At 51.6% G+C, this 26,478-nt stretch overlaps 1 protein-coding gene, 1 long non-coding RNA gene and 1 other non-coding gene across 12 annotated transcripts, besides 3 other annotated features; 1 reads left to right on the top strand and 2 right to left on the bottom strand.

Annotated features, from left to right (window-relative positions):
* The first annotated feature begins 1,669 nt into the window (after positions 1-1,669).
* Positions 1,670-11,595, top strand: SLC29A2 (solute carrier family 29 member 2). Of its 10 annotated transcripts, none has more exons than XM_017017632.2 (14): positions 1,670-1,758; positions 1,851-2,106; positions 2,505-2,553; positions 2,791-2,872; positions 4,584-4,747; positions 4,917-5,056; positions 5,445-5,579; positions 6,247-6,344; positions 6,568-6,652; positions 7,552-7,685; positions 7,885-7,990; positions 8,095-8,180; positions 9,692-9,891; positions 10,569-11,595. In XM_017017632.2, the coding sequence occupies exons 3-14, from the start codon at positions 2,525-2,527 to the stop codon at positions 10,678-10,680; spliced, it is 1,371 nt and encodes a 456-aa protein (XP_016873121.1). In that variant the 5' UTR covers positions 1,670-1,758; positions 1,851-2,106; positions 2,505-2,524; the 3' UTR covers positions 10,681-11,595. The 10 variants fall into 10 exon arrangements, 9 of the variants coding, with proteins under 9 accessions (XP_016873121.1, NP_001287797.1, XP_047282818.1 ...); NM_001300868.2 differs by having other exon boundaries at positions 2,470-2,553; XM_047426862.1 differs by having other exon boundaries at positions 2,337-2,553.
* Positions 1,901-2,660: a silencer, noted in NCBI's record as "silent region_3590". NCBI's record gives its function as "represses an Ori minimal core promoter by ATAC-STARR-seq in GM12878 lymphoblastoid cells {active_cell/tissue: GM12878}" and the evidence as "EXISTENCE:reporter gene assay evidence [ECO:0000049][PMID:35858748]".
* B4GAT1-DT (B4GAT1 divergent transcript) lies at positions 10,352-26,125 on the bottom strand. Its single transcript, NR_135761.1, has 2 exons — positions 26,046-26,125; positions 10,352-10,847 (listed from the first exon to the last, which is right to left on the bottom strand). It is a non-coding gene; the product is annotated as a B4GAT1 divergent transcript (long non-coding RNA).
* Positions 25,327-25,827: an enhancer, noted in NCBI's record as "H3K4me1 hESC enhancer chr11:66115760-66116260 (GRCh37/hg19 assembly coordinates)". NCBI's record gives its function as "activates a minimal SCP1, AML or CMV promoter by ChIP-STARR-seq in primed H9 embryonic stem cells {active_cell/tissue: H9 hESC(primed)}" and the evidence as "EXISTENCE:reporter gene assay evidence [ECO:0000049][PMID:30033119]".
* Positions 25,854-26,443: a silencer, noted in NCBI's record as "silent region_3589". NCBI's record gives its function as "represses an Ori minimal core promoter by ATAC-STARR-seq in GM12878 lymphoblastoid cells {active_cell/tissue: GM12878}" and the evidence as "EXISTENCE:reporter gene assay evidence [ECO:0000049][PMID:35858748]".
* Positions 25,915-25,996, bottom strand: TRS-GCT3-1 (tRNA-Ser (anticodon GCT) 3-1). Its single transcript has one exon. It is a non-coding gene; the product is annotated as a tRNA-Ser (tRNA).

Raw genomic sequence — 26,478 nt, 5'->3', positions numbered from 1 at the left:
AGGCATCATGGCACACGCCTGTAATCCCAGCTACTCAGGAGGCTGAGGCAGGAGAATCGTGTGAGCCCAGGAGGCAGAGGTTGTAGTGAGCCAAGATCCTGCCACTGCACTCTGGCCTGGGCAACAGAGAGAGACTCCGTCTGAAAAAAAAAAAAAAAAGAAAAAAAAAGAGAAAAAGAAAAGAAAAAAAAAGGTAAGAAAAGAAAAGAAAATCCTGGCAAACTAGTGGGTCTCTGAGTGGCCAGTTTCACTGCATGCCTGTATCGCATGTGAGTTTGTAGCCGTGGATTCACTGCAGTTTTAGAAAGAAGGGCAAGCATTTGACAGCTTCATGTACCATGAATATTAACACATTCACACACACCATGTTATTACTAAATAATTTCCCTTATGATTCATCTGCAGTAAAATCAGGATATTATCTCGACATCAAATGTTATTGTGTATAGGTAGGTTTTGTTTTATATGAGTTTCATTGCAGGATAGTAACAAAATATTTATTACAAGGACGATGGAATCGGCTCCAGCTGACCGTCTGTGCTTTGAAATGAAATCTGAACTCCTTAATCAGCCCTCAGACTTGCCATAACCAGCCTGGCTGTTGTAGAGGCTCTGTCCCCTCCTCCCACCAATGCCAGCCAAAGGGATCTATTTGTATGTCCCAGAATGTGTCAGCACTCTCTTGTCCCTTGTCTTGGGACAGGCTGTTCTCTCCCTGAAATGCCCTCATCCTCTCCCTTCACTGTCTCAACAAATTCAGTGCTCCCTAGCCTCCATTCTCAAGTCCTTCCTTCACAACCTGTGCCATAGCTGTGCTGCACCAGCGGCCTCGCTTTTCTTTAAATAACTCATTTTCCATAAATAAATTGATTTTTCAAAGAAAAGTTGATATCATAATCATAAATAGGAAACCAGTATGAGTAGCCCTGAAAATAAAGTTGCTATAAAAATAAATATAAGAAAAATACAAGTTAATAACTTTTGATAAAATTGTCAGCAGACCCTCTGAGGCTAACTGAGGGGAAGGGATGGGAAGGCAGATTAAGAAGTGTTAGCAACCTGTTAACACCCTTGACATATTCAGAGGCTTGAAAGAAAATGGGAAGAATAACTTTCTCTTTCGGTGTAATTTAATGCTGTCTCTGTTCTCCCTAAAATCACCTGCATTTTACTGCAACCACCCATTTATCACTCAACGGCGCTAGATGCTGCCAGTAAACCAATGGACCAGATAAGCACAGCCTCTGCCCCTACAGACTCTCAGTCGGCTGGAGGAAAAACATAAGCAACCTGGGAATGGCTATAAAATGTCATTGCTTAAGAAAATAGTTTGTGGCCGGGCGTGGTGGCTCACGCCTGTAATAGCAACATTTTGGGAGGCCGATGCGGGCGGATCACCTGAGGTCAAGAGTTCGAGACCAGCCTGGTCAAAAGATGAGTTCGAGACTAGACTGGCCACCTCTTCAGTAGAGCTGGTGAAGCCCCGTTTCTACTAAAAATACAAAAATTAACCGGACGTGGTGGCATGCGCCTGTAGTCCCAGCTACTCCTGAGGCTGAGGCACCAGAATCGCTTGAACCTGCCTGGGAGGGGGAGGTTGCAGTGAGCCAAGATCACGCCACTGCACTTCCGCCTGGGCGACAGAGCGACACTCAGTCTCAAAAAAACTAGTTTGTGTTTTGGAGCCTCTCACTTCTCCAGCGTCCCCGATACGCCCGGGGATTGCAGAGAACCCACACCTATTCGTAGATTATGAGAGTAGGAGCAAATTAATGATTTATAGTCTTTTCAAATTTTTTTTTTTAACAGAAAAAGAGTAGGGAGTTGAAAGTAATGCTGTTTTTTTCCAGGCACTCCCGGGGACCCAGCGCGGCGAAGCCCGCCAGGATCGCGGGCGACCTGTGGCAGCTCTGGTTCCCCCGCCCGGGCCCGGCTCGGGTTACGCTCTGGGCGGGGACTCCGCAGCGGCTCCCTAGTTAGGGGGCGCCCCGGTGGGTTCCAGCTTTAGGGGTCGCAGGAGCGGCTCTGGCATCACCTCGGAGCTGACGAAGCGGGAAGAGCCCCGCACCAGTGCTGCCCCTACAGAGCTCTCGGCGGGGGGTGGAGGTGAGGTTACACCTCGTCCCTACCCCCGCCTTCCCCTCCGCCGCAGGGATCCGGGACCCGCCCCCGCGGAGAGGACGGGGGGCTGCGGGGAGGGGCTGTGCGGGGAGCGGGCGGGTTCCGCAGGCCCCTAGGTGGGGCGGGGCCCGAGCCAGAGTCGAGTCCCTGAGGCGGGTGGGGGAAGGAGAGACGGGTGGCGCGACCCTCTGTCCCCGCCTCGGGGCGGAGCCCAGGTCCCAGCCTGCGGAGCGCGAGACACGCCGAAATCCGCCCGAGGCTACCTGTGCGACTCCAGCCGCCCTGCACCGGAATCTGGGGAGACCCGCCCCCCGCCCCACCGGTCTGCGGCCCTCCGCCCCAGCGCAGGTGCAGGTGCGGCTTCTCTGCCCCTTTCACCCCAGGCGCATCCGCCGCGGCGGCCATGGCGCGAGGAGACGCCCCGCGGGACAGGTGAGTGGGCCCGGGTGCGTTGCAAGTGGCCGGGGGCGTTGCAGACCCGCTCCCTGAAGGCGCTCCGAGGCTCAGAGAAGACCGGATCGAACTACAATTCCCATCAGCCGACTCCCTCGGCCGCCGGAACCGGGGTGATCGGGGTTGTAGTCCGCTCCGGAGGGGGTGGCCTGGGAGGCGGGAGGGCCTGCGGAGGCGGGTGCGTCCTCGGGGTGACCTTCCCACCGATCCCCACAGCTACCACCTGGTCGGGATCAGCTTCTTCATCCTGGGGCTGGGCACCCTCCTTCCCTGGAACTTCTTCATCACCGCCATCCCGGTGAGACTCCTGGCGGCGTGGCAGCCTCGTGGCCACAGCCAGCACCCCTCCCTCCAGCCCTTTGGATGAAGCTTAGCGGGCGCTTCCTCACCGCGCACCTGTGACCCCTCGTTGAGCTCATTATGGGCTGAAGCTCGGAGAGGGGAATGCTTCCCCCGTGGCTAGGAAAGTAGAACTTCAGCAATGCCCACATCTCAGAGGGGCAAGGCCACCAGCCCACAGGGTCTGGAATGAGCAAAGGCGCTGCCACCCCTCTCTGTGTGTCGTTATTCCTGAGTCAGTCACCCCAAAAGTCGGTTATCGAACGTTTGATTTTCTTTGAAATACCATGAATTTCATTCATTCACTCATTCATTCAACAAACTTTTTTTTTTTTTTTTTTTTTGAGACAGAGTCTGGCTCTTTCGCCCAGGCTGGAGTGCAGTGGCGCCATCTCGGCTCACTGCAAGCTCCGCCTCCCGGGTTCACGCCATTCTCCTGCCTCACCCTCCCGAGTAGCTGGGACTACAGGCGCCCGCCGCCACGCGCGGCTATTTTTTTTTGTATTTTTAGTAGAGACGGGGTTTCACCGTGTTAGCCAGGATGGTCTCGATCTCCTGACCTCGTGATCCTCCCGCCTCGGCCTCCCAAAGTGCTGGGATTACAGGCGTGAGCCACCGTGCCCAGCCTCATTCAACAAACTTTTAATGTGCATCTACTGTGGAGCAGGCACTGGGGACACAGGAGGAAACAGCAGGGAGGCTCTTCAGGGAAGGCAGAAATGTGGGGTTTGCATTGTCTTTGGGACCGGGTTATTCATCTGTATTCACTGCAACAACTTTGCAAATGCTTCTTGGGTACTGGCTCTGTGCTGGGCCCTGGAAACCCAGAGATGAATCAGCCCCTGGGCTTGAGAGCAAGAGGGGGCCAAAGAGCTATTAATAATGTAACATGATGCGTGACATTCCAGGCTTGCAGCAGAGTGCAGTGGGTCCCCAGGGGAGGGAGAAAGTTCCTTCTGCTTCATGGAAGAGGAGATTTGTAAATTGGGAGTAGGGTAGGCAAAGTGCATGTGGAGGGGTGTGGTCAGTAGGGCATTCCAGGCCGAGGCGACAGCCATGCCAAAGGCAGGCAGGCAAGAGACGATCAGCCTGTTTAGAGGGAGATCCACAGCCAGGGCTGCCTGGAGCTTAGCAGGATGGAGCAGAAGATGGGGCACAAAGGGAGACTAGGATCTGATTCTGAAGAGCTGTTCCATTTGGGGCTTTGCCCTGCAGGCAATAGGGAGGCATGAATCGGGGTGTTGAGGAGTGAGGAGGTTAAGCAGAGGAGTGGCAGGCTATGTGCTCTAGAGAGAATGCAGTTGTTCAGCACCTAGGCCAAAGCCTGGCTGACAGTAGGCGCTCAATAAATACCCGTGGAATGAATGAATGTAGCAGCTGCTGCAGGAGTGGGGATGGGGGCTGGAACCAGGGCACTGAAGAGGAGGGGCCGTCCAAGGCTGGATCGAGGCTCTTGCTGGGGGCTCTTAATGCTTAGGCTGTGTCCCAGACTTCAGCCATTTAACTCAGCACACATTCATGGAGCTCCGACTGTGTGCCGGCTGCTGGGAACAGAACAAGGACAAGGCAGACAAGTCCCCACAGACATTAGAAAGCAATCACAAGTGAGGGGGAAGGCAGCGGGGGAAGGCTGAGAGGTGCTGACCCTCCACCACCTCCCCACCTGGCAGTACTTCCAGGCGCGACTGGCCGGGGCCGGCAACAGCACAGCCAGGATCCTGAGCACCAACCACACGGGTCCCGAGGATGCCTTCAACTTCAACAATTGGGTGACGCTGCTGTCCCAGCTGCCCCTGCTGCTCTTCACCCTCCTCAACTCCTTCCTGTACCAGTGGTGAGAGGCCTGCCCTGGCTCCTGCGCCCTCTGCCGAGGCAGCTTCATTGAGGCCCTCCCCTGCGCCCCCTGCCCCCCAGCCCTACTGCCCAGCCCCAGGTGTCGAGCCTCCTTCCCCAGCCCCCTCTGGCCTGGGCCCCACTGATGCACTCTGCCTGCTTCTGAGCAGCGTCCCGGAGACGGTGCGCATTCTGGGCAGCCTGCTGGCCATACTGCTGCTCTTTGCCCTGACAGCAGCGCTGGTCAAGGTGGACATGAGCCCCGGACCCTTCTTCTCCATCACCATGGCCTCCGTCTGCTTCATCAACTGTGAGCACCTCCACCCCCTCTCCAGCCAGCCTATGCAGGGCTTCAGCCTGGCCTCATCATTGAAAGGGCCCAGCATATCCGAGAAGGGCAGACAGCATCATGGTCGCTCATATCCCTGGTGAAGAAACTGAGGCCCACAGGGAGGGGAAGAGTCACTTGTCCGGTGACCTAGGAGCAGGCCTCCTGGTCAACAGCCCCACAGACCAATGGCTGCACCTCAGAAGAGGACTGAATAGCGGGTGTTGCCCCCGAGTGCTCAGAGTCCCTAGGGAAGCTCACACCTGCGCAACCTTGTCCAGAGTCCCCTGTGTATCCTGCCGGCACCTCCTCCAGGGAGCCTCTGAGTCTTGCCTAGTTGAGCAGCAGCCCCCATCCCTGTCCTCCACAGCCTTCAGTGCAGTCCTACAGGGCAGCCTCTTCGGGCAGCTGGGCACCATGCCCTCCACCTACAGCACCCTCTTCCTCAGCGGCCAGGGCCTGGCTGGGATCTTTGCTGCCCTTGCCATGCTCCTGTCCATGGCCAGTGAGTGCACTTGGGTGGCTGGAGGGCTGGGGTGGCCTCTGAGGTTTGGGGAAGAGAGAGGGCATGTGAGAGCAAGACACATGGGTTCTGGGTGAAGATGGAGGTAAGCAGGTGATATGGAAATGGGGATTGGGTCTGGGGCTAGGGAGTGGGGCTCATGGGCCCTGCAGTGAGGAGTAATAACCAAGTGAGGACTGGGTTAACTCAGGGACAGGGGCAGGATTCCTGGGGCTAATACTGGCATGTGGCAGCAGGTTGAAGTTGAAGGATAAGGGGATGGGTTTGGGATTCAGATAGTCTTGGGTTTGAATCTGCTTCACCGCTTACCAGCTAGGGGTGTTGGACAAGGCTTGTCACCTCTCTGTGCTAGCTTCCCCACCGACGTGATTGGTATAGCTCCCTGCTCAGATTGTAATGAGCATGCAATGAGAGAAGGCTACTGGCACATAGTACGTGCTCAACAAAAATGACACATGGGGAAAGTGAGAGAAGTGCAGGGCTGCTCTGGGGCCCTGTACAAGATTCCCATTTGTCAGTGAAGGGAGGAGCGGAAGAGGCTGGGAGTGGGTCTGAGAAGTACACAATGGGAAGTGGGACAAGAGTTGGAAGCCCCGTGGGAGCCGGCGGGACCAGGTGCCTCTCTTCTGCAGCTGAAGTTCCTCCGCAGGTGGCGTGGACGCCGAGACCTCTGCCCTGGGGTACTTTATCACGCCCTGTGTGGGCATCCTCATGTCCATCGTGTGTTACCTGAGCCTGCCTCACCTGGTGAGCCTGCTGTTGGGCTCGAGGCCCCACCTCAAAGCATCTTGGATAGAGTCCTGAGCCTGAGGCCCTGAGAGAGGCCAGGGGAGGTGGAGGAGACCTGGTCTCAGCCCTGACCCCCAGAGAAGACACTGAGGGGCCCCAGCCTCCAGGCCAATGGTATGGGGAGGGATCCAGACACCTCAGGCAAGCCAGGCAGGCCCAACACTTTCCTGTCCTTCTGCAGAAGTTTGCCCGCTACTACCTGGCCAATAAATCATCCCAGGCCCAAGCTCAGGAGCTGGAGACCAAAGCTGAGCTCCTCCAGTCTGGTAAGCCCTGAGACCCTCCTGGGGAGGTGGGAGATGCAGAGGAAGCTAGAGCCACCTCCCCTGGGAAGCTGTTCCATCTGTTCCCAGCCAGAGCCCACCCCTAGTAGCCTTGTGCAAACAGGAAGATCATGAAGGGAAGTTGGTAGGATTAAAGTCATCCCTGCTGTTGTTTGGGCCTCAGTTTCCACCTCTATAAAATGGGGAGGCGACAGAGGTTCCATGCATGCAAACTTTGGATCCGAAGACCTCTGAATTGGAATACTAGTTTCACAACATCCCAGCTGTGTGGCCTGAGACAAACCACTTAGCCACTGCACCCCTCTGAACCTCAATGTGTCATTTGTAAAGCAATGGTAATGAGATAATCCATCTAAGGTGCTTCGCTCATCACCCGACCCATGCACGCGCTTCCTGGTAGCTATGCATATTTCCATCATGAATTCCCTTCGCCTGCAGCCTCAGCTTAGGCTGGAGGAAGATCACCTTTTTTTGTTTTGGGGTGAGGGGGTTGTTGTTATTTTGAGTCAGGATCTCACTCTGTCACCTAGGCTGCACTGCAGTGCTATCACAACTCAACTGCAGCCTCGACCTCCTGGGCTCAAGTGAGCCACCTCAGTCTCCCGAGTAGCTGGGACTATAGGTGCAGGCTGCCATGCCCGGCTAATTTTTTTATTTTTGTAGAAATGGGGATTCACCATGTTGCCCAGGCTGGTCTCGAACTCCTGGGCTCAAGCAATATGCCCGCCTCGGCCTTCCAAAATGTTGGGATTACAGGCGTGAGCCACCATGCTGAGCTGAGGATCACTTGTTTTAACTGCTGGGAATCTCCCTTCGTTGGGCCTGGCTGTCGGGAAACCTGGGTCACAAGCATGACCCTTCCCCGTCCCCCCTCACCCCAGATGAGAACGGGATTCCCAGTAGTCCCCAGAAAGTAGCTCTGACCCTGGATCTTGACCTGGAGAAGGAGCCGGAATCAGAGCCAGATGAGCCCCAGAAGCCAGGAAAACCTTCAGTCTTCACTGTCTTCCAGAAGGTTTGGCTTGGATACAGCCCCCAACCACCATCTTTGGGGAAGAATGGGGCTCACATTGACTCCAAGGTCATAGGGTCACAGTGGGTCAGGGACACAGCTGGGCCAGGCCCCAAGTGTCCTGCTCCCACATGGGGCTTGGGCAAGAGGGTGGGGCCCTGGGACTGCCCTGCCTGCTCACACCCCTGCCTCTGGCTCCCAGATCTGGCTGACAGCGCTGTGCCTTGTGTTGGTCTTCACAGTCACCCTGTCCGTCTTCCCCGCCATCACAGCCATGGTGACCAGCTCCACCAGTCCTGGGAAGTGGAGTGAGTGTCAGGGTGGAGAAGACGGCAGGGCAGGGGGTACAAAGGGGAGAGGACGGGAGAGGGGAGTTGGAGACCAGTATGAGCTGCAGCCGTTTCCCTCCCAGGTCAGTTCTTCAACCCCATCTGCTGCTTCCTCCTCTTCAACATCATGGACTGGCTGGGACGGAGCCTGACCTCTTACTTCCTGTGGGTAAGCACACCAGGGCTGGGTGATCCGATGTTTTAGGAAGCAGTTTGGGATCCGAGGGCTTGAAAGAGCATGGAGGTGATTTTCTGGTAGTCCAAATGGCCTGGTAATGCAACCACTGGCCAAGCAGCAGGGAGCACTTGGGCCCTGGAGGCGTGCAGGCCAGGGCTTGCACTGTGAGCTCCCTGAAAGCAAAAATCATGTCCAGCTGACCTCTGTGTCCCCAGCATCCAGCCTTTGCTGCTCAGAGAATGTTACATGGAGGTTCCTGCACCAGGTGAGGGACTGAGCAAGAGTCTTAGTTTTGGGGTTGGTTTTAGCCATGGTACTGTATCTTTAAATGAAATCTTCCAAAGAGACAATACATAACGCAGGTGAAAGAGGAGCTGGTCTCATCCAAGTCAGGACAGGAGCTGATCTACAGCTTCCAATCCCACTCAGAAACCCCATCTGCCCCCAAGGGGGTCTGTGGAACCACCAGTGGGTGCTCTGAGGAACCGAGTACGTAAACTGTAGATGCGGTGGAGAGCACAAGCTGGAGCCTGGGAGAGGCAGAGGTGAGCCCCAGGCCAGTCCCTGATTTCTGGGTGGACTTGGCCCAGGCCCCAGTGCTGGGTCCTCCCTCACTGGCTCACAAGGTAGGTCAGGTCAGAGGAGGTCAGGGGGTGACAGATGGGTCTATCCTATGGGTGGGCCAGGCGTGGTGGCTCACACCTATAATCCTAGCACTCTGGGGCTGGACGCGGTGGCTCACACCTGTAATCCCAGCACTCTGGGAGGCCGAGGCGGGTGGATCACGAGGTCAGGAGTTCGAGACCAGCCTGGCCAACATGGTGAAACCCCGTCTCTACTAAAAAGATAACAATTAGCAGGTGTGGTGGTGCACACCTGTAATCCCAGGGAGGCAGAGGCTGCAGTGAGCCGAGATCGCACCACTGCTCTCCAGCCTGGGAGACAGAGCGAGACTCTGTCTCAAAAACAAACAAACAAAAAAACCCCTAAAATCCGAGCACTTTGGGAGGCCAAGGCAAGAGGATCGCTTGAGCTCAGGAGTTCAAAACCAGCCTGGGCAACACAGTGAGACTTTGTCTGTACACACACACACACACAAATTTTTAATGAAAAAAATAGAGGCCGGGTATGGTGGCTCACGCCTGTAATCCCAGCACTTTGGGAGGCTGAGGCAGGTGGAACACTCGAGGTCAGAAGTTCGAGACCAGCCTGGCCAACATGATGAAACCTGGCTCTACTAAAAATATAAAAATTATCTGGGCATGGTGGTGGCAGGCGCCTATAGTCCCAGCTACTCAGGAGGCTGAAGCAGGAGGATTTCTTGAACCCAGGAGGTGGAGGTTGCAGTGAGCTGAGATCAGGGCCACTGCACTCCAGCCTGGGCAACAGAGCGAGACTCCATCTAAAAAAAAAAAAAAAAAAAGTACTCTATGGGTGTCCTGAGATGCCCTGGAGCAGAGACCTGGCTCCAGGGACCATGCTGACTTCAGCTTCTACCACAGCCAGACGAGGACAGCCGGCTGCTGCCCCTGCTGGTCTGCCTGCGGTTCCTGTTCGTGCCCCTCTTCATGCTGTGCCACGTGCCCCAGAGGTCCCGGCTGCCCATCCTCTTCCCACAGGATGCCTACTTCATCACCTTCATGCTGCTCTTTGCCGTTTCTAATGGCTACCTGGTGTCCCTCACCATGTGCCTGGCGCCCAGGTCCGGGGCAATGGGGTGGGGTGGGGGGCTGGGAGTAGGGAGGTGGGTTCAGTCTTTGGGAAGGGACCGCCTGCAATGGAGGGACGGCCCATCCTGCTTCTGGCCAGCCCAACCCTAGCTGTCTGCAGGCCTTGCTGGCGCCCCCTACTGGGCCAAGCCTTAACTGCAGGGGAGAGAACTGGGCTAGGGAGGTACCCGCCCAACCAAGTAGCCCAGGCACTGGTTCTGGGGCCGCCTCAATGTGCCTCAGTTTCCCCATCTGTAAAAAAAAATGGGTTGAACTGTCATCCCTCAGGGCCCATCTAACTGTAAAATTCTCAGTTGAAGGAGAGCTAAGGTTTTGACCAAAAACAAGGTCATGGGCTATTTCCTCAAGGGGCAATGGAGTGGAGAATCCAGAGAGAATGAAGCTGGCAGGGCAGACAGGCTGAGAGCACTGTGGAAAGGGCAGGCTGTGGAATCTGGAATCCCATCATGTTAGACTCAGAGGCCCTGAGAGACATCCTTATCCAGCAGCCTCATTTACAGACCAGGAAACTGAGGCCCGGAAAGAAGGGGCCAGTTATGGTGACAGAGGGGTTGGGTCAGAGCCCAGACTGGATGGGCAGAGGGCAGTGGAGCTGGGTCCAGATTTAGACCCAGCATTTTCTAAGAGCTCCTGTTCCCGGGTGTTCTAGGCAGGTGCTGCCACACGAGAGGGAGGTGGCCGGCGCCCTCATGACCTTCTTCCTGGCCCTGGGACTTTCCTGTGGAGCCTCCCTCTCCTTCCTCTTCAAGGCGCTGCTCTGAAGTGGCCCCTCCAGGCTCTTTGGCAGCCTCTTCTCGACGTCTCCTTCCGGAGCTGAGATCCAGCCCAGGGCGAATGGCGAGCTTGGCTCAGGCCTCTGCGGGGTGGAGGCCCCTGGGCCTGAGGCTGCCAGCAGCGGGCAGGAGCTGCTCTTCATCCACTTGGAGTGCTGTGGGGAAGAAATCACCACCGGTCATTCTAACCCTCACCCAGGAATGGGGGTGACTCGCACAAGACCTCATGGAAAGGGTGATGACTAGGGAAAAGAGGGTGCAGGGCACGGCTGCTCCCCACCACCAGGTCTGCATTTGTTCATCATCATCAGGAGCAGAGGTGACCAGAGGGTTCAGAGTGGGAGGCGGGGCCAGCCCAGGCCAGGAGCGCCTCATCTTCCCAGGCCTCAGCCACCCAGGGTAAAAGGTGCCAGGGAAGTTGTGGGCACCTGAGAGGAGGAACAGATGTGGAGGACCTGAGGGTGCTCAAAGGGCCAGGCTCAGCCTCAAGCAGTGTTTTCATTGCCAACACTTACTGTACCCACTCCGCAGAGCCCAGCTGGGCCTGGGCCCCAGGGCCACAGCTAGCCTGCATGTGTGTACTGCACTTTACAGTTTGCAAAGCTCTTCCATACCCACTCTCTCACCGAAGCCTAATTGAGGCTCTTGGAAGGAGTCAGGCAAGGATTGTGCTTCCCCCATTATACAGGTGACAAAACTGAGTCCTGGGGAAAGTGACTGGTCCGTGGTAGAGCCGGGACCCAATCCCCTCTCTCTCCTCCCTGTTGGTGCTGTTCTTCCTGCCCAACACCTGTTTCTCTTTTCCTCAAGGGGTTTGGGGCAGGAGCCTGGGCACTTACTCCCCGTTTTTGCTGTTTCTCCTTCTGACCCTGCTCTTGGGTCTAATAACCCCATTTATTTGTATGATGCGTTCACCAAGTCTTTATTTCCGAAGTGCTGTTGGCTCTATTGGCCTCAGTGAACTGGGTGGGGTCGGAAAGATTGTACCCCCTTGACAGGTGGGATGACTGAGGCCCTGAGAGGGGTAGGGATTGGTGGGCATCTCTGTGCTGGGTCCTCTGGACCACATGATAGCTGGGGGGTACTGACCTGCAAGGAATCCTGAGCTCCTGGGCAGAGCACCTAGTTGGATGGACAACTATTGCTCTCCCACTCCATGAGCCCCTGGGCTCTCACCAGCATCCTCTGCCTCCCCAGGATAGCTCCTCCTTGGAAATCTGGCCTTAGAGAGGCAGTCAGTGTGGGCAGGGCTTTGGCGACCCCACCAATTCTACACACGGATGGAGGAAAGGCCTGCTTCACCACACACCTATACTACCCTGCCCGTCCCAGAGAAAAGCAAGGGTTTTCTGCCCACCTGCCTTTGTGAACATTCACTGAGCACCTATTAGATATTAGGTGCTCAGCCAGCACAGGGTACCTGCTCAGAAGCCAGGGGCTTTTTGGCATCAAGGAGGAAGACAGGCAAGATATGACCTTGGTTGCTGAAATAAGCCACAGGGCAGACCCCAAGGAAGGATTCATTCCTTTGAGCACTGTTCACAGACAGCTGCCCCGAGCCAGGCCCTGCCTGGTCTGGAGACTTTGAAACAAAGGAGACACAGTCCCCGCTCCCAAGGCCACAGGAAGCCAAATATAACTTGTGATACGTCTTGTGAGGGCCCTGCAGAAGCATGTCGAGGGAGCCACTGATTCCACCTGAGAAGTCAGGGCAGCCATTCCAGAGGAGGTATTTCCCCAGCTGGGCCCTGAGGGATGAATATGAGTTTGCTAGTCTGAGGTGGAGGAGGAGCAGAAGCAGAGAAGCCACAGAGGAGTTGATCCCAGCAGTCCAGCGGGGAGGTGATGGGGCCTAGACAGTGGCTTAGAGAGGACGACTGATACAGGAGATATGAGGGAGACTGCCTCTATGGAGGCCAGCTAACCTCGTGGATAAGTGCATGCATGCTGAGCCAGAGTCCTAGGTCAAATCCAGGCCCTTTTCTTTATGACCTGCCTGAGCTAGAGTCCTGGAGTGAGGTTGGAACTAAAGTACCACCTCTGATGATATTAGGGAAACGGTTGTTGGAGTCTTGGAGTCTCTTGCAAGACCAATAGGCCTACTTGTGCTCTCTGGGACTGTTGGAGGCAGGACCCCAACACTTGCTGAGTCTCCTTCTCCTCTACCTTCAGAGGAGAGTACAACTGTTGTCCGTTGTACCTAAAAGCTCCCTAGAAGCCAGGCGCGGTGGCTCACATAATCCCAGCACTTTGGGAGGCTGAGGCAGGTGGATCACCTGAGGTCGGGAGTTTGAGACCAGCCTGACCAACATGGAGAAACCCCATCTCTACTAAAAATACAAAATTAGCCGGGCGTAGTGGCGCATGCCTGTAATCCCAGTACTTGGGAGACTGAGGCAGGAGAATCGCTTGAATCCGGGAGGCGGAGGTTGCAGTGAGCCGAGATCGTGCCACTGCATTCCAGCCTGGGCAATAGGAGCGAAATTCTGCCTCAAAGAAAAAAAAAAAAAAAGCTCCCTAGACCTGCCAGATCCACCTGGGACCAGGAAGGCAGACACCCACCTGCCCACCTCCCAGGCCAGACAGTCCCAGGAAACCCACTGGGGCCACCCGTCACCCACAGCAAGCCCAGGTTCGGGCTGGGCAGTGGAGGATGGGGCCCAAAAAGAGGACACTTACCCCTCAGGATCATGATGTCACAACCTGGGATTCCGTCTTCCCATCCTCCTTCCCAGTAGACCCAGCACAACTTCATCAGCTCAGGGTGCAGGGGCTTTGATGTTGGAAACAAATTCTTGGACTGGTTGGCTACACCTGCCTGCCCCTCGCCTGATGCCTAGTCCCCAGCTACTGCTGCCTGCCCACCCTGTTACAGCTCTGCCGACAGGCCCGGATTCCCACAGAAGCAGCCAGTTTCCATCAGCAAACACTCGCACTGCACAGGGCACTGAGCTGGGCTCAGTGGAGACAGACATCCTTACCCTCAAGTTGCTGACCCTTTTATGGAAGAGGAGACTGGTAGTTAGAATTATACTACGTGAGGCCAGGCATGGTGGCTCACACCTGTAATCCCAGCACCTTGAGAGGCCAAGGTGGGCGGATCACTTGAGGTCAGGAGTTTGAGACCAGCCTGGCCAACATGGTGAAACCTGGTCTATACTAAAAAAATACAGAAATCAGCCGGGAATGGTGGCAGGCGCCTGTAATCCCAGCTACCTGGGAGGCTGAGGCAGGAGAATCACTGGAACCCGGAAGGTGGAGGCTGCAGTCAGCCGAGATTGCGCCACTGCACTCCAGCCTGGGTGACAGAGCAAGATCATCTCAAAAAAAAAAAAAAAAAAAGAATTCTACTACATGAAAAGCATTTGACATTTGTGATCTGCTTTTCCACCTGCCTCAACATGCCACATGTTGTCAGAGTTTGGCCCCTTTTGAGTGGCCCCAGAGGCCCCCCTACCTAACCCTCACGCCCTGCTTTGTATGGGAATGGCATCTCTAGCCAGGGCTGACTGGACCAGGGCTGGGGTCTGAGCAATGGCAGCCACTCACTGACTGGCCAGCAGCCTATGAGGTGGCCCGGTCCAGCTTCCCTGATGAGAGGAACCAATCAGATCATCTCTCTTGGGAGAATGAAGCCACAACATGAGTGGGGGTTGTCTCGAGGTTACTGGCACATTAGAAGGAATAGGTCATAGGCAGGGTCAAGGTCACAGGCAGGGTCAACAACATAATAGAATGGGGAATTGCTTTGTGGTCACTAGAGTCATCATGATATCCTAGATGGAGCCAGGTGGCATCCTTGTTCTTCTTGCTCTCTTTCTTTCTTCTCAAGGTTTCTTGAACAAACTACTGTTGACTGAGGTCACCTGGCTAGACTCCCCCTTATTTATTTATTTTTTTTGAGATAAGAGTCTTGCTCCATCACCCAGGCTTGAGTGCAGAGGTGCGATCTCGGCTCACTGCCACCTCCGCCTCCTGGGTTCAAGTTATTCCTCAGCCTCCTGAGTAACTGGGATTACAGATACGTGCCATGATGCCCGGCTAATTTTTTTGTATTTTTAGTAGAGATGGGGTTTCACCATGTTGGCCAGGCTGGTCTTGAACTCCTGACCTCAAGTGATCTGCCCGTCTTGGCCTCCCAAAGTGTTGGGATTACAGGCATGAGCCACTGCACCCGGCCTGGACTCCCTTTTCATTGCAGCCCCAGAGTTTGTGAAGTAGAAGCCCTGCGCACTACCACATTTTACAGATGAATAAACTGAGGTTCCATGGGGCTCAATATTAATAGAATGTAAGCAAAAGTAGTAAAACAGACAGCTCCAAGGGCCTGTGCCTTAAAAAAAAAAAAAAAACGGAAAACATGAGCAACGACTGTTGGAACAACCTTTGTCGGAACTCTGGAAAATAATCAAAGATTTACAACAACCAAGCAAGTGCTGAATCAAGAAAGTGGCAACTTAATATAATGAGAGTTTTGCAGTATTTTACCTGCCCTTGCCCCATTTCCCTTCTGAGTTAGTGGTGGTGTGAAGATGGCATTCCCATTGTGGGACCCTAGCCTTTGGTTCTCAAGGGAGCAAAGCAGACTTTGTTCTCAAAGGATTGTATCTATTAGTTCCGACCTGTCTGGGGACTACCTAAAGAATGGATGCCAGACATTCGCTTTTGTTTTGCCTGACTCAGAAATCTCTCAAGATGGAAAAGCTTCTACTTAAGAGGACAGTTCTCCAAAACACTGAAAGGCAAATTAACAAACCTCTGCTGTCCAGAGCAAAGATTACAGTTTACATGAACAACAGACAAGCTGAAAGGTTGTAAGGAAAAGGTGGGGAGACATTCTCTGGGGAACTGAAAAGCTCCCTCAAATATGAGGGAATTGAGAAAGCCATATACATGCAGGGCAAGATGCATGCTCATAAAAGACTCAAGAAGTCCAGGTGTGGTGGCTCACACCTGTAATCCCAGCACTTTGGAAGGCCAAGGCGGGAGGATCCCTTGAGGCCAGGAGTTCGAGACCAGCCTGGGCAACATAGCAAGACTCCGTCTCCACAAAAATAAAAATAAAATAAAATAAAATAGCAAGACACATGGTGGTACATGCCTGTAGTCTTAGGTACTTGGAAGGCTGAGGCAGGATAATCATTTGAGGCCAGGAGTTCAAGCCTGCAGCAAGTTGTGACTGCACTGCTATACTTCAGTCTGGGCAACAGAACAAGACCCTATCTTTTAAAAAAGGAAGGCATTAATGGAGGAAATGAGGAACGAAAAGATACAAGACGTAGAAAACAAATAGCAAAATGGCACAAGTAAGTCTTTCCTTATCAGTAATTACTTTTTTTTTTTTTTTAAACAGAGTCTCACTCCGTCGCTCAGGATGGAGTACAGTGGTGTGATCTCGGCTCACTGCAACCTCCGCTTTCTAGGTTCAAGCAATTCCCCTGCCTCAGTTTCCCAAGTACCTGGGACTACAAGTGTGCACCACCACACCCGGCTACTTTTTGTATTTTTATTAGAGACGGGGTTTCACCATGTTGGTCAGACTGGTCTTAAACTCCTGGCCTCAAGTGATGTGCCCACCTTGGCCTCCCAAAGTGCTGGGATTACAGGCGTGAGCCACTGCGCCCAGCCTCAGTAATTACTTGAAATGGAATTGACTCAACTCTCCAATTAAAAGGCAAGATTGTCAGAATGGATTTAAAAAAATTTTTTTTTTAGAGGCAGGATCTCTCTGCCCAGGCTGGTCTCAAACTCCTAGAGCTCAAGCAATCCTCCTGCCTCAGCTTCCCAAAGTGCTGGGATTATAGGTATAAACCACCGTGCCTGGCTCAAGAATGGATTTTAAAAATGATTCAACTAGGGCCGGGCGCAGTGGCTCACGCCCGTAATCCCAGCACTTAATTTTTTTGTTTGTTTTTTTCTTTTTGAGACGGAGTCTCGCTCTGTCGCCCAGGCTGGAGTGTAGTGGCGCGATCTCGGCTCACTGCAAGTTCCGCCTCCCGGGTTCACGCCATTCTCCTGCCTCAGCCTCTTGAGTAGCTGGGACTACAGGCGCCCGCCACCACGCCCGGCTAATTTTTTGTATCATTTTTAGTAGAGATGGGGTTTCACCATGTTGGCCAGGATGGTCTCGATCTCCTGACCTCATGATCCACCCGCCTCAGCCTCCCAAAGTGCTGGGATTACAGGCATGAGCCACTGCGCCCCGCCAATCCCAGCACTTTAGAAGGCTGAGGCGGGCGGATCACCTGAGGTTGGGAGTTCGAGACCAGCCTAACCAACATGGGGAAACCCCATCTCCACTAAAAATACAAAATTAGCCAGGCATGGTGGCGCATGCCTGTAATCCCAGCTACTTGGGAGGCTGAGGTAAGAGAATCGCTTAAACTCGGGGGGTGGAGGTTTCAGTGAGCCAAGATGGCACCATCGCACTCCAGCCTGGGCAACAAGAGCGAAACTCCGTCTCAAAAAAAAAAAAAATGATTCAACTGGGATTACAGTGGCTCACGCCTGTAATCCCAGCACTTTGGGAGGTCAAGGAGGGCAGATTACTTTAGCCCAGGAGCTTGAGACCAACCCAGGTAACATGGCAAGACCTCATGTCTACACAAAAAATTTAAAAATTAGGCACACATGGTGGCGTGCGCCTTTAGTCCCAGCTACTCAGGAGGCTGAAGTGGAAGGATTGATTGAGCCTAGGCAGTAGAGGCTACAGTAAGCCGTAATTGTGCCATTGCACTCCAGCCTAGGTGACAGAGCAAGACCCTGTCTCAAAATTAATTAATTAAACAAAAAGTGATTCAACTATAAACTGTCTATAAGAGACTCACTTTAGATCCAAAACCACAACAGACATATATAGAATACTCTACCTATAAACAAAAGAATATATAACCTCAAGTGCTTGTGAAATATTCTCCAGGACAGATCCTATGTTAGGTCACGAAACAGTCTCAATAAATTTTAAAAGACTGAAATCATATAAAGGGTCTTTTCTGATCACAGTGGAATGAAACTGGAAATCAACAACAGAAGAAAAGCTGGAAAATTCACAGATACGTAAAAATTAAACAACATATTCTTAAAAATTAATGAGTCAAAGACATCAAAAGGGAAATTAGGAAATACTTTGAGATAAATGCAAACGAAAATACAACATAGCAAAACTTGCAGGATGCAGTAAGAGCAGTGCTTAGAGGGAAATTTATAGCTATAAATGCCTACGTTAAAAAAGAAGATCTCAGAACAATAACCTGACTTTAGAACTTAAGGAACTAGGGGTCAGGCGCAGTGGCTCACACTTGTAATCCCAGCACTTTGGGAGGCCAAGGTGGGCAGATCACGAGGTCAAGAGATTGAAACCATCCTGGGCAACATGGTGAAATCCTGTCTCTTCTAAAAATACAAAAATTAGCTGGTCGTGGTGGCACACCCCTGTAGTCCCAGCTACTTGGGAGGCTGAGGCAAGAAAATCACTTGAACGCGGGAGGTGGAGGTTGCAGTGCAGTGAGCCGAGATTGCACCACTGCACTCCAGCCTGGCAACAGAGCAAGACTCCGTCTCAAAAATAAATAAATAAATAAATAACTTAAGGAACTAGTAAAAGAAGAGCAAACTACACTCAAAGGTAGCAGAAGGAAAGAAATACTAAAGATTAAAGACAAACAAAATGGAGGGAAAAAAGCAATAGAGAAAATTAATGAAACCAAAAGTTGGTTCTTTGAAACGATCAACAAAACTGACACACCTTTAACTAGATTGACTAAGAAAAATAGAGAGAAGCCTTTAAGGTACTAAAATCTAATACTAAGAAATGCAAGTGGTAATATTACTACCAATTATAGGCACACCTAAAACATATTGCAGGTTTGGTTTCAGACCACTGCAATAAAGCAAATATTGCAATAACTTGGGGTTTCCCGGTGCATATAAAAGTTATGCTTGGCCGGGCGCGGTGGCTCATGCCTGTAATCCCAGCACTTTGGGAGGCGAGGCGGGTAGATCAACTGAGGTCAGGAGTTTGATACCAGCCTGACCAACATGGTGAAACCCTGTCTCTTCTAAAAATACAAAAATTAGCTGGGCGTGGTGGCAGGTGCCTGTAATCCCAGCTACTCGGGAGGCTGAGGCAGGAGAATTGCTTGAATCAGGGAGGCGGAGGTTGCAGTGAGCTGAGATCGCAGGATTGCACTCCAGCAAGACTCTGTCTCAAAAAAAAAAGTTATGCTTATGCTACATTGTAGTCTATTAAGTATGCAATAGCATTGTGTCTAAAAAACAATGTATATACCTTAATTAAAAATATTTATTGTGGCTGGGTGCGGTGTCTCACACCTGTAATCCCAGCACTTTGGGAGGCCATGGTGGGCTAGGGCAGATCACCTGAGGTCAGGAGTTTGAGACCAGCCTGGCCAACATGGAGAAACCCCGTCTCTACTAAAAATACAAAAATTAGCTGGGCATGGTGATGCGTGCCTGTAATCTCAGCTACTCGGGAGGCTGAGGCAGGAGAATCACTTGAACCTGGGAGGTGGAGGTTGCAGTGAGCTGAGATCTCGCCACTGCACTCCAGCCTGGGCAACAGAGCAAGACTCCATCTCAAAAGAAAAAAGAAAAAAAAAAAACCTTATTGCTTAAAAATGCTAGTGATCACCGGAACCTTCAGTAAGTCATAATCCTGAAACCTTTAGCAAGTTGTAATCTTTTTGCTGGTGGAGGGTCTTGCCTCGATGTTGATAGCTGCTGACTGATCAGGATGGTAGTTGCTGAAGATGGGGGTGGCTGTGCCAATTTCTTAAAATAAGGCAACGATGAAATTTGCTGCACTGATTGATCCTTTCATGCAAGATTTCTCTCTAACATGCGATGCTGTTTGATAACATTTTACCCACAGTAGAAGTTCTTTCAAAATTAAAGTCAATCCTCTCAAATCCTACAGCTACTTTATCAATTAAGTTTACATAATATTCTAAATCCTTGTTGTCATTTATCAATGTTCACCGCATCCTTGCCAGGAGTAGATTCTATCTGAAGAAACCACTTTGATGATCCAGAAGAAGCAACTCCTCATCCATTCAAGTTTTCTCATGATATCGCAGCAATTCAGTTACATCTTCAGACTCAACTTCTAATTCTAGTTCTCTTGCTATTTCCATCATATTTGCAGTTACTTCCTCCACTGAAGTCTTGAACCCTTCAAAGTCATCAGCGTATTCCAAGGTCTCCAGTGCAGTGGCATGATCATGGCTCACTGCAGCCTAGACCTCTGGGTTCAGGTGATTCTCCCGCCTCAGCCTCCTGAGTAGCTGGGACTACAGGTATGCGCCACCATGGCTGGCGATTTTTTTGTATTTTTAGTAGAGACGGGGTTTCGCCATGTTGCCCAGGCTGTTCTCAAACTCCTGGGCTCAAGGGGATCTGCCTGCCTTGGCCTCTTGAAGTGCTGGGATTACAAGCGTGAGTCACGACGCTCGGCCTCACTTTCTTATCTTTTGTGTGTTCACTGGGGTAGCACTTTTAATTCCTTCAAGAACTTTTCCTTTGCATTCACAACTTGGCTGACCATTTGGCACAAGAGGCCTAGCTTTCAGCCTATCACAGTGTTTACCATGCCTTCCTCACTATGTGTAATCATTTCTAGCTTTTGATTTAAAATGAGAGAAGTGCAACTCTTCCTTTCACTTGAACACTTAGAGGCCAACATAGAATTATCAGCCTAATTTCAATATTTTTGTGTTTCAGGAAATAGGGAGGTATGAGGAAGGGGAGAACAGTCAGTCGGTGGAGCAGTCAGCACACACACAACACTTACTGATTTTTTTTTTTTTTTGAGACGGAGTTTCGCTCTGTCACCCAGGCTGGAGTGCAGTGGCACGATCTCGGCTCACTGCAAGCTCTGCCTCCCGGGTTCATGCCATTCTCCTGCCTCAGCCTCCTGAGTAGCTGGGACTACAGGAACCCGCCACCTTCAATCTGTAAAAAAAAAAAAATGCAATTATCTGTGACGTGCAATAAACCAAAGTGCAATAAAGTGAGGTATGCCTGGCTGGGCGTGGTGGCTCACGCCTGTAATCCCAGCACTTTGGGAGGCGGAGGGGGGTGGATCACAAGGTTAGGAGATTGCAACCATCCTGGCTAACAGGATGAAACCCCGTTTCTACTAAAAATACAAAAAAATTAGCCAGGCGTGGTGGCAGGCACCTGTAGTCCCAGCTACATGGGAGGCTGAGGCAAAAGAACGGCGTGAACCCGGGAGGTGGAGCTTGCAGTGAGCCTAGATTGCACCACTGTACTCCAGCCTGGGCAACAGAGCGAGACTCCATCTAAAAAAAAAAAAAAAAAGTGAGGTATGCCTTTACCCAGAAGTAAAAAGGACTATAAGAGAATACTATGAATAACTGTATGCTAACAAATCAGATGAAATGGACAAATTCCTGAAAACACACAAACTACCAAAACTGATGCAAGAAGAAACAGGAAATCTGAACAGACCTATAACAAGTAACCAGATTTAATCTGTAATCAAAAACCTCCCAACAAAGAAAATCCCAGGACCAGATGGCTTCACAAGTGAATTCTACCAATCACTTAAAGAATTAACATCAATCCGGCTGGGCGCGGTGCCTCATGCCCGTAATCCCAGCACTTTGGGAGGCGGATGAGGGCAGATCACCTGAGGTCAGGAGTTTGAGACCAGCCTGCAACATGGTGAAACCTCGTCTCTAGTAAAAATACAAAAATTAGCCAGGCATGGTGGCGCACACCTGTAATCCCAGCTACTCTGGAGGCTGAGACGGGAGAATCGCTGGAACCCAGGAGGCAGAGGTTGCAGTGAGCCGAGATCATGCCACTGCACTCCAGCCTGGGTGACAGAGCGAGACTCTGTCACAAACAAAACAAAACAAAACAAAACAAAAAGAATTAACAACAATCCTATAACAGTGTAGTGTGCAAAGTAAAAAGAAATTTACAACAATCCTTCTCAAACTCTTCCAAAAAATAGAAAACACTTTACAACTCATTCTATGTGACCTGAGGCCAAACTAATATACAGACCATCCCAAGAAAACTACAGACCGTATCTCATATGAATATAGATGCAAAAATCCTCCACAAAATACTAGCAAACCTAACCCAGCAACATATTAACAGAATTATACACCATGACCAAGTAGGAATTATTCCAGAAATGCAAGATTGTTTAACATACAAAAATCAATCAGTGTGGCCGGGCACGGTGGCTCACCCTGTAATCCCAGCACTTTGGGAGGCTGAAGCAGGTGGATCACTTGAGGTCAGGAGTTTGAGACCAGCCTAGACAACATGGTGAAATCCGTCTCTACTAAAAATACAAAAAATATTAGCTGGCTGTGGTGGTGCACACCTGTAATCCCAGCTAGTCAGGAAGCTGAGGCAGGAGAATCACTTGAACCTGGGAGGTAGAGGTTGCCATGAGCCAAGATCGCGCCACTCACTCCAACCTGGGTGACAGAGCGAGACTCCATCTCAAAAAAAAAAAAAAAAAAGAAAGGCTGGGTGTGGTGGCTCATGCCTGTAATATCAGCACTTTGGGAGACCGAGGCGGGCAGATCACTTGAGGTCAGGATTTCAAGACCAGCCTGGCGAACATGGTGAAACGGCATCTCTACTAAAAAATACAAAAATTAGCCAGGCATGATGGCGCATGCCTGTAATCCCAGCTACTCCGGAGGCTGAGGCATGAGAATAACTTGAACCCAGGACGCAGAGGTTGCCGTGAGCCAAGATCGCTCCACTGCACTCCAGCCTGGGAAACAGAGCAAGAACGTCTCAAAAAAAGAAAAAGAAAATCAATCAATGTAATACACCACATTAATAGAATGAAGAGGAAACACCAAGTGATCACCTCAATTTATGAACAAAAAGCAAGTGACAAAATCCAACACGCTTTCAAGATAAAAAGCATGTGACAAAGTCCAACACTCGTTCAAGATAAAAAGCATGTGACAAAGTCCAACACTCGTTCAAGATAAAAATGCTGAATAAACAAGGAATAGGTGGAAACTTCCTTCACCTGATAAAGGGCATTTATGAAAAATCCACAAATAACATCATACTTAATGGCGAAAGACCTAAAGCCTTCCCCCAAAGATCAGGAACAAGAGAAGGATACGTGGTTTCACCGTTTCATCTCCTCAACATTGTACTAGAAGTTCTAGCTAGAGCAATTTGGCAAGAAATGAACTTCTGCACTGGGGTGGGAAAAAAAATGGCAAGAAAAAGAAACAAAAGTTAACCAAACTGAAAAAGAGGTAAAACTATTCATAGTCACAGATGACATAATATATACATATATAGAAAATCCTAAGGAATACATGCATACACACAGAGACACACACACACACACACACAGACACGTACACACATACACAAACTTTTAGAGCTAATAAAGTCAGCAAAGTTGCAGAATTCAAGATTAACACACAATAGCCTGGCTCAGTGGCTCGTGCCCGTAATCCAAGCACTTTGGGAGGCTGAGGTGGGTGGATCACTCGAGGTCAAGAGTTCAAGACCAGCTTGGCCAACATGGTGAAACCCTGTCTCTACTAAAAATATAAAAATTAACTGGGTGTGGTGGCGCACGCCTGTAGTCCCAGCTACTAGAGAGGCTGAGGCAGGAGAATCACTTGAACCTAAGAGGCGGAGGTTGCAATGAGGTGAGATCACTCCACTGCACTCCAGCCTGGGAGACAGAGTGAGACTCTGCCTCAAAAAAAAAAAAAAAAAGTTAACACACAAAATTCTGGTTGGGCACAGTGGCTCATGCCTGTAATCCTACCACTTTGTGACGCTGAGGCAGGTGGATCACCTGAGGTCAGGAGTTTGAAACCAGCCTAGCCAACATGGCAAAACCCCGTCTCTACTAAAAATACAAAAATTAGCCGGGTGTGGTGGCATGCACCTGTAGTCCCAGCTACTCGGGAGGTTGAAGCTGGAGAATTGCTTGAACCCGGGGGGCAGACGTTGCAGTCAGCCAAGATCGCGCCACTTCACTCGAGCCTGGGTGAAAGGGCGAAACTCCATCTCAAAACAACAACAACAACAACAAAAATTCAGTTATATTTCTATACACTAACAATGAACAACGTGAAAAGGAAATTAAGAAAACAACTCCATTTACAATAGGATACAAAAGAATAAAATACCTAGGAAAAAATTAACCCAGGAAGTAAAAAACTTGTCCACTGAAAATACAAACACTGGCTGAGCTTGGTAGCTCACTCCTGTAATCCCAGCACTTTGGGAGGCCGAGGTGGGCAGATCACCTGAGGTCGGGAGTTCGAGACCAGCCTGACTAACATGGAGAAACCCTAGTCTACTAAAAATACAAAATTAGCTGGGCATGGTGGTACATGCCTGTAATCCCAGCTACTCCGGAGGCTGAGGCAGGAGAATCACTTGAACCCAGGAGGCAGAGGTTGCAGTGAGCCGAGATTGAGCCATTGCACTCCAGCCTGGGCAACAAGAGCGAAACTCTGTCTCAAAATAATAATAATAATAATAGGGCTGGGCGCAGTGGCTCACACCTGTAATCCCAACACTTTGGGAGGCCAAGGTGAGTGGATCACCTGAAGTTAGGAGTTCGAGACCAGCCTGGCTAACATGATGAAACCCCATCTCTACTAAAAAATAATACAAAAAATTAGCCAGGCATGGTGGTGCACTCCTGTAATCCCAGCTACTCAGGAGGCTGAGGCAGGAGAATCACTTGAACCTAGGAGGCAAGGTTGCAGTGAGCCAAGATCGCGTCATTGCACTCCAGCCTGAGCAAGAAGAACAAAATTCTGTCTCAAATAATAATAATAATAATAAATAAAAAATAAAACACTGAGGAGGTCAAAGAAAATCCACATGGCAGCATGTCTGACTTCTGAGCCTCCAGTCTATAAGGCCTGTGCTGAAAGGATCTGCACTTACTTTTCTCCTCTTTACAGCCAAGGTCACCAGTGGAAACTCTCAAGGACAATACCTGTGTCTCCTCCAAGGCCCATCCCTCGTGCCTAACACAGTTCCTGGCAGAGACCAGGTACTCAGTGTGTGTTTTTGCTCTGGGCTGCAAAATAAAGGTTTTCTGATCACTCTTCAACTCAACAACCTTGGCACCCTACTGCCTGTGGAATAGTGGGACAAACACTTTATCCTTATTTGAAGCCCTGCCCAGTCTGTCCTGACATCCCAAGATTCAGAGCACTCTGCCCTATAGGGGCCTCCCTGGCTCAGCCTAAAAAGTTGAGTAATATACGGTAATTGATTTAGCAGTGGCAGTGTCTGCCCTTCCCACGGCCTCTCCTGTTCTAAAGAGTCCACAGATGAATTAATCCACAAATACTTATTAAGAGTATAGTGGCCTGATATTGGAATGTTCAAAGCCTTCTGCTTAAGAGTTTGTGTGCGGCCGGGCGCGGTGGCTCACACCTGTAATCCCAGCACTTTGGGAGGCCGAGGTGGGCGGATCAGGAGGTCAGGAGATCCGAGACCATCCTGGCTAACACGGTGAAACTCCGTCTCTGCTAAAAATACAAAAAATTAGCCGGGCGTGCTGCATGCGCTAGTAGTCCCAGCTACTCGGGGCTGAGGCAGGAGAATCGCTTGAACCTGGAAGGCAGAGGTTGCAGTGAGCCGAGATCGCGCCACTGCGCTCCAGCCTGGGCGACAGAGCGAGAATCCGCCTCAAAAAAAAAAAAAAAAAAAAAAAAAGAGATTGTGTGTGTTGGGGAGCAGGGCATGTGGACACAAGGTCTCCGCCCTAGGAGAAGTGCTGGAGAGTAGGACAAGTACCACTACTTCGGACGGGGAGGGCGATGCCTCCAATGGGGGGCTTCCCTGATTCCTGCAGATCATACGTTGGCCCCCAACTTCACACTGGCCAGAATCCCGGTTCTAGTCTTTTCCGTGCCACCAACCCCTGGGCCCTCTTTCTAGAAGGAAAGAAAACACCTTTGGCCTCTGCCCAGAGCTACAGACACCTGAAGTAGGAGCAGGCAGGAGATGCGTGGTGGATAAAGACCAGAGAGACTTGGGATCGAATTCCACTCTCACCCCCAGTTCAGTTTTCTTCAGCTTGCTGCTCCACAGGCAGGATGTGAAAATTTAGATGCCTCACCCCTCGCACCTCCAGCTTGCTGCTCCAAATAGGCAGGATGTGAAAATGTAGATGCTTCCCCCCCAACCTCTATAAAACAGGGCCGACGAGGATGGGATTCGAACCCACGCGTGCAAAGCACAATGGATTAGCAGTCCATCGCCTTAACCACTCGGCCACCTCGTCCTACGTGACAGGTTTGTCCACATTCACTTATCTCTCATCTACTCCGCACCTTCCAAGCACTACCACGTAAGTCGCAACGCAGACCTCTTCGGACACAGGGAAAGAAGAAGCCGCGGAAGGAAGGGAGCGTTTTGATTTCCTTTCTGCTGAGCCCGCGCCATCCTTTACCACGCTGCAGCCGAGCTCTGCCGCGGTTTCCCTCCGAGTCCGGCCGAGCGCGCCGCGCGTTCAGGGCGCGCCCGGTCCAGGGTGCGCGCGCCGGCGGGGAGGGAGAGGAGTGCGTCCCGGGAAGCCGGCGGGGCCCGGGCGGGCGGGCGTCTGCACGGCGCGCGGCCGAGCGGCGGGGCCGTGGCTCCTCCTCCCTCGTAGGGGGCGAGCCGGCGCGCCGGGGGCTGGGGGCGGTGGCGGGCGGCGGGCGGCGGGCGGCGGGCGGCGGGCGGGGCGGCGCTCGGGGCTCGGCTGGCCTCGGCTCGCCTCGGCTG

Source organism: Homo sapiens, chromosome 11 (genome assembly GCF_000001405.40).
Source record: "Homo sapiens chromosome 11, GRCh38.p14 Primary Assembly".
In the NCBI taxonomy this organism is placed as follows: Eukaryota; Metazoa; Chordata; class Mammalia; order Primates; family Hominidae; genus Homo; species Homo sapiens.
Note: the sequence above shows the minus strand (reverse complement) of the source record. Positions and strands in the feature narration are given on the sequence as shown.

Coding starts and splice junctions, on each gene's coding strand:
- SLC29A2 (XM_047426860.1), top strand. CDS start 2,525: ATGGCGCGAGGAGACGCCCCGCGGGACAG. Junction 5,580..6,246: donor CATGCTCCTGTCCATGGCCA/GTGAGTGCACTT, acceptor GTTCCTCCGCAG/GTGGCGTGGACGCCGAGACC. Junction 6,345..6,567: donor ACCTGAGCCTGCCTCACCTG/GTGAGCCTGCTG, acceptor GTCCTTCTGCAG/AAGTTTGCCCGCTACTACCT.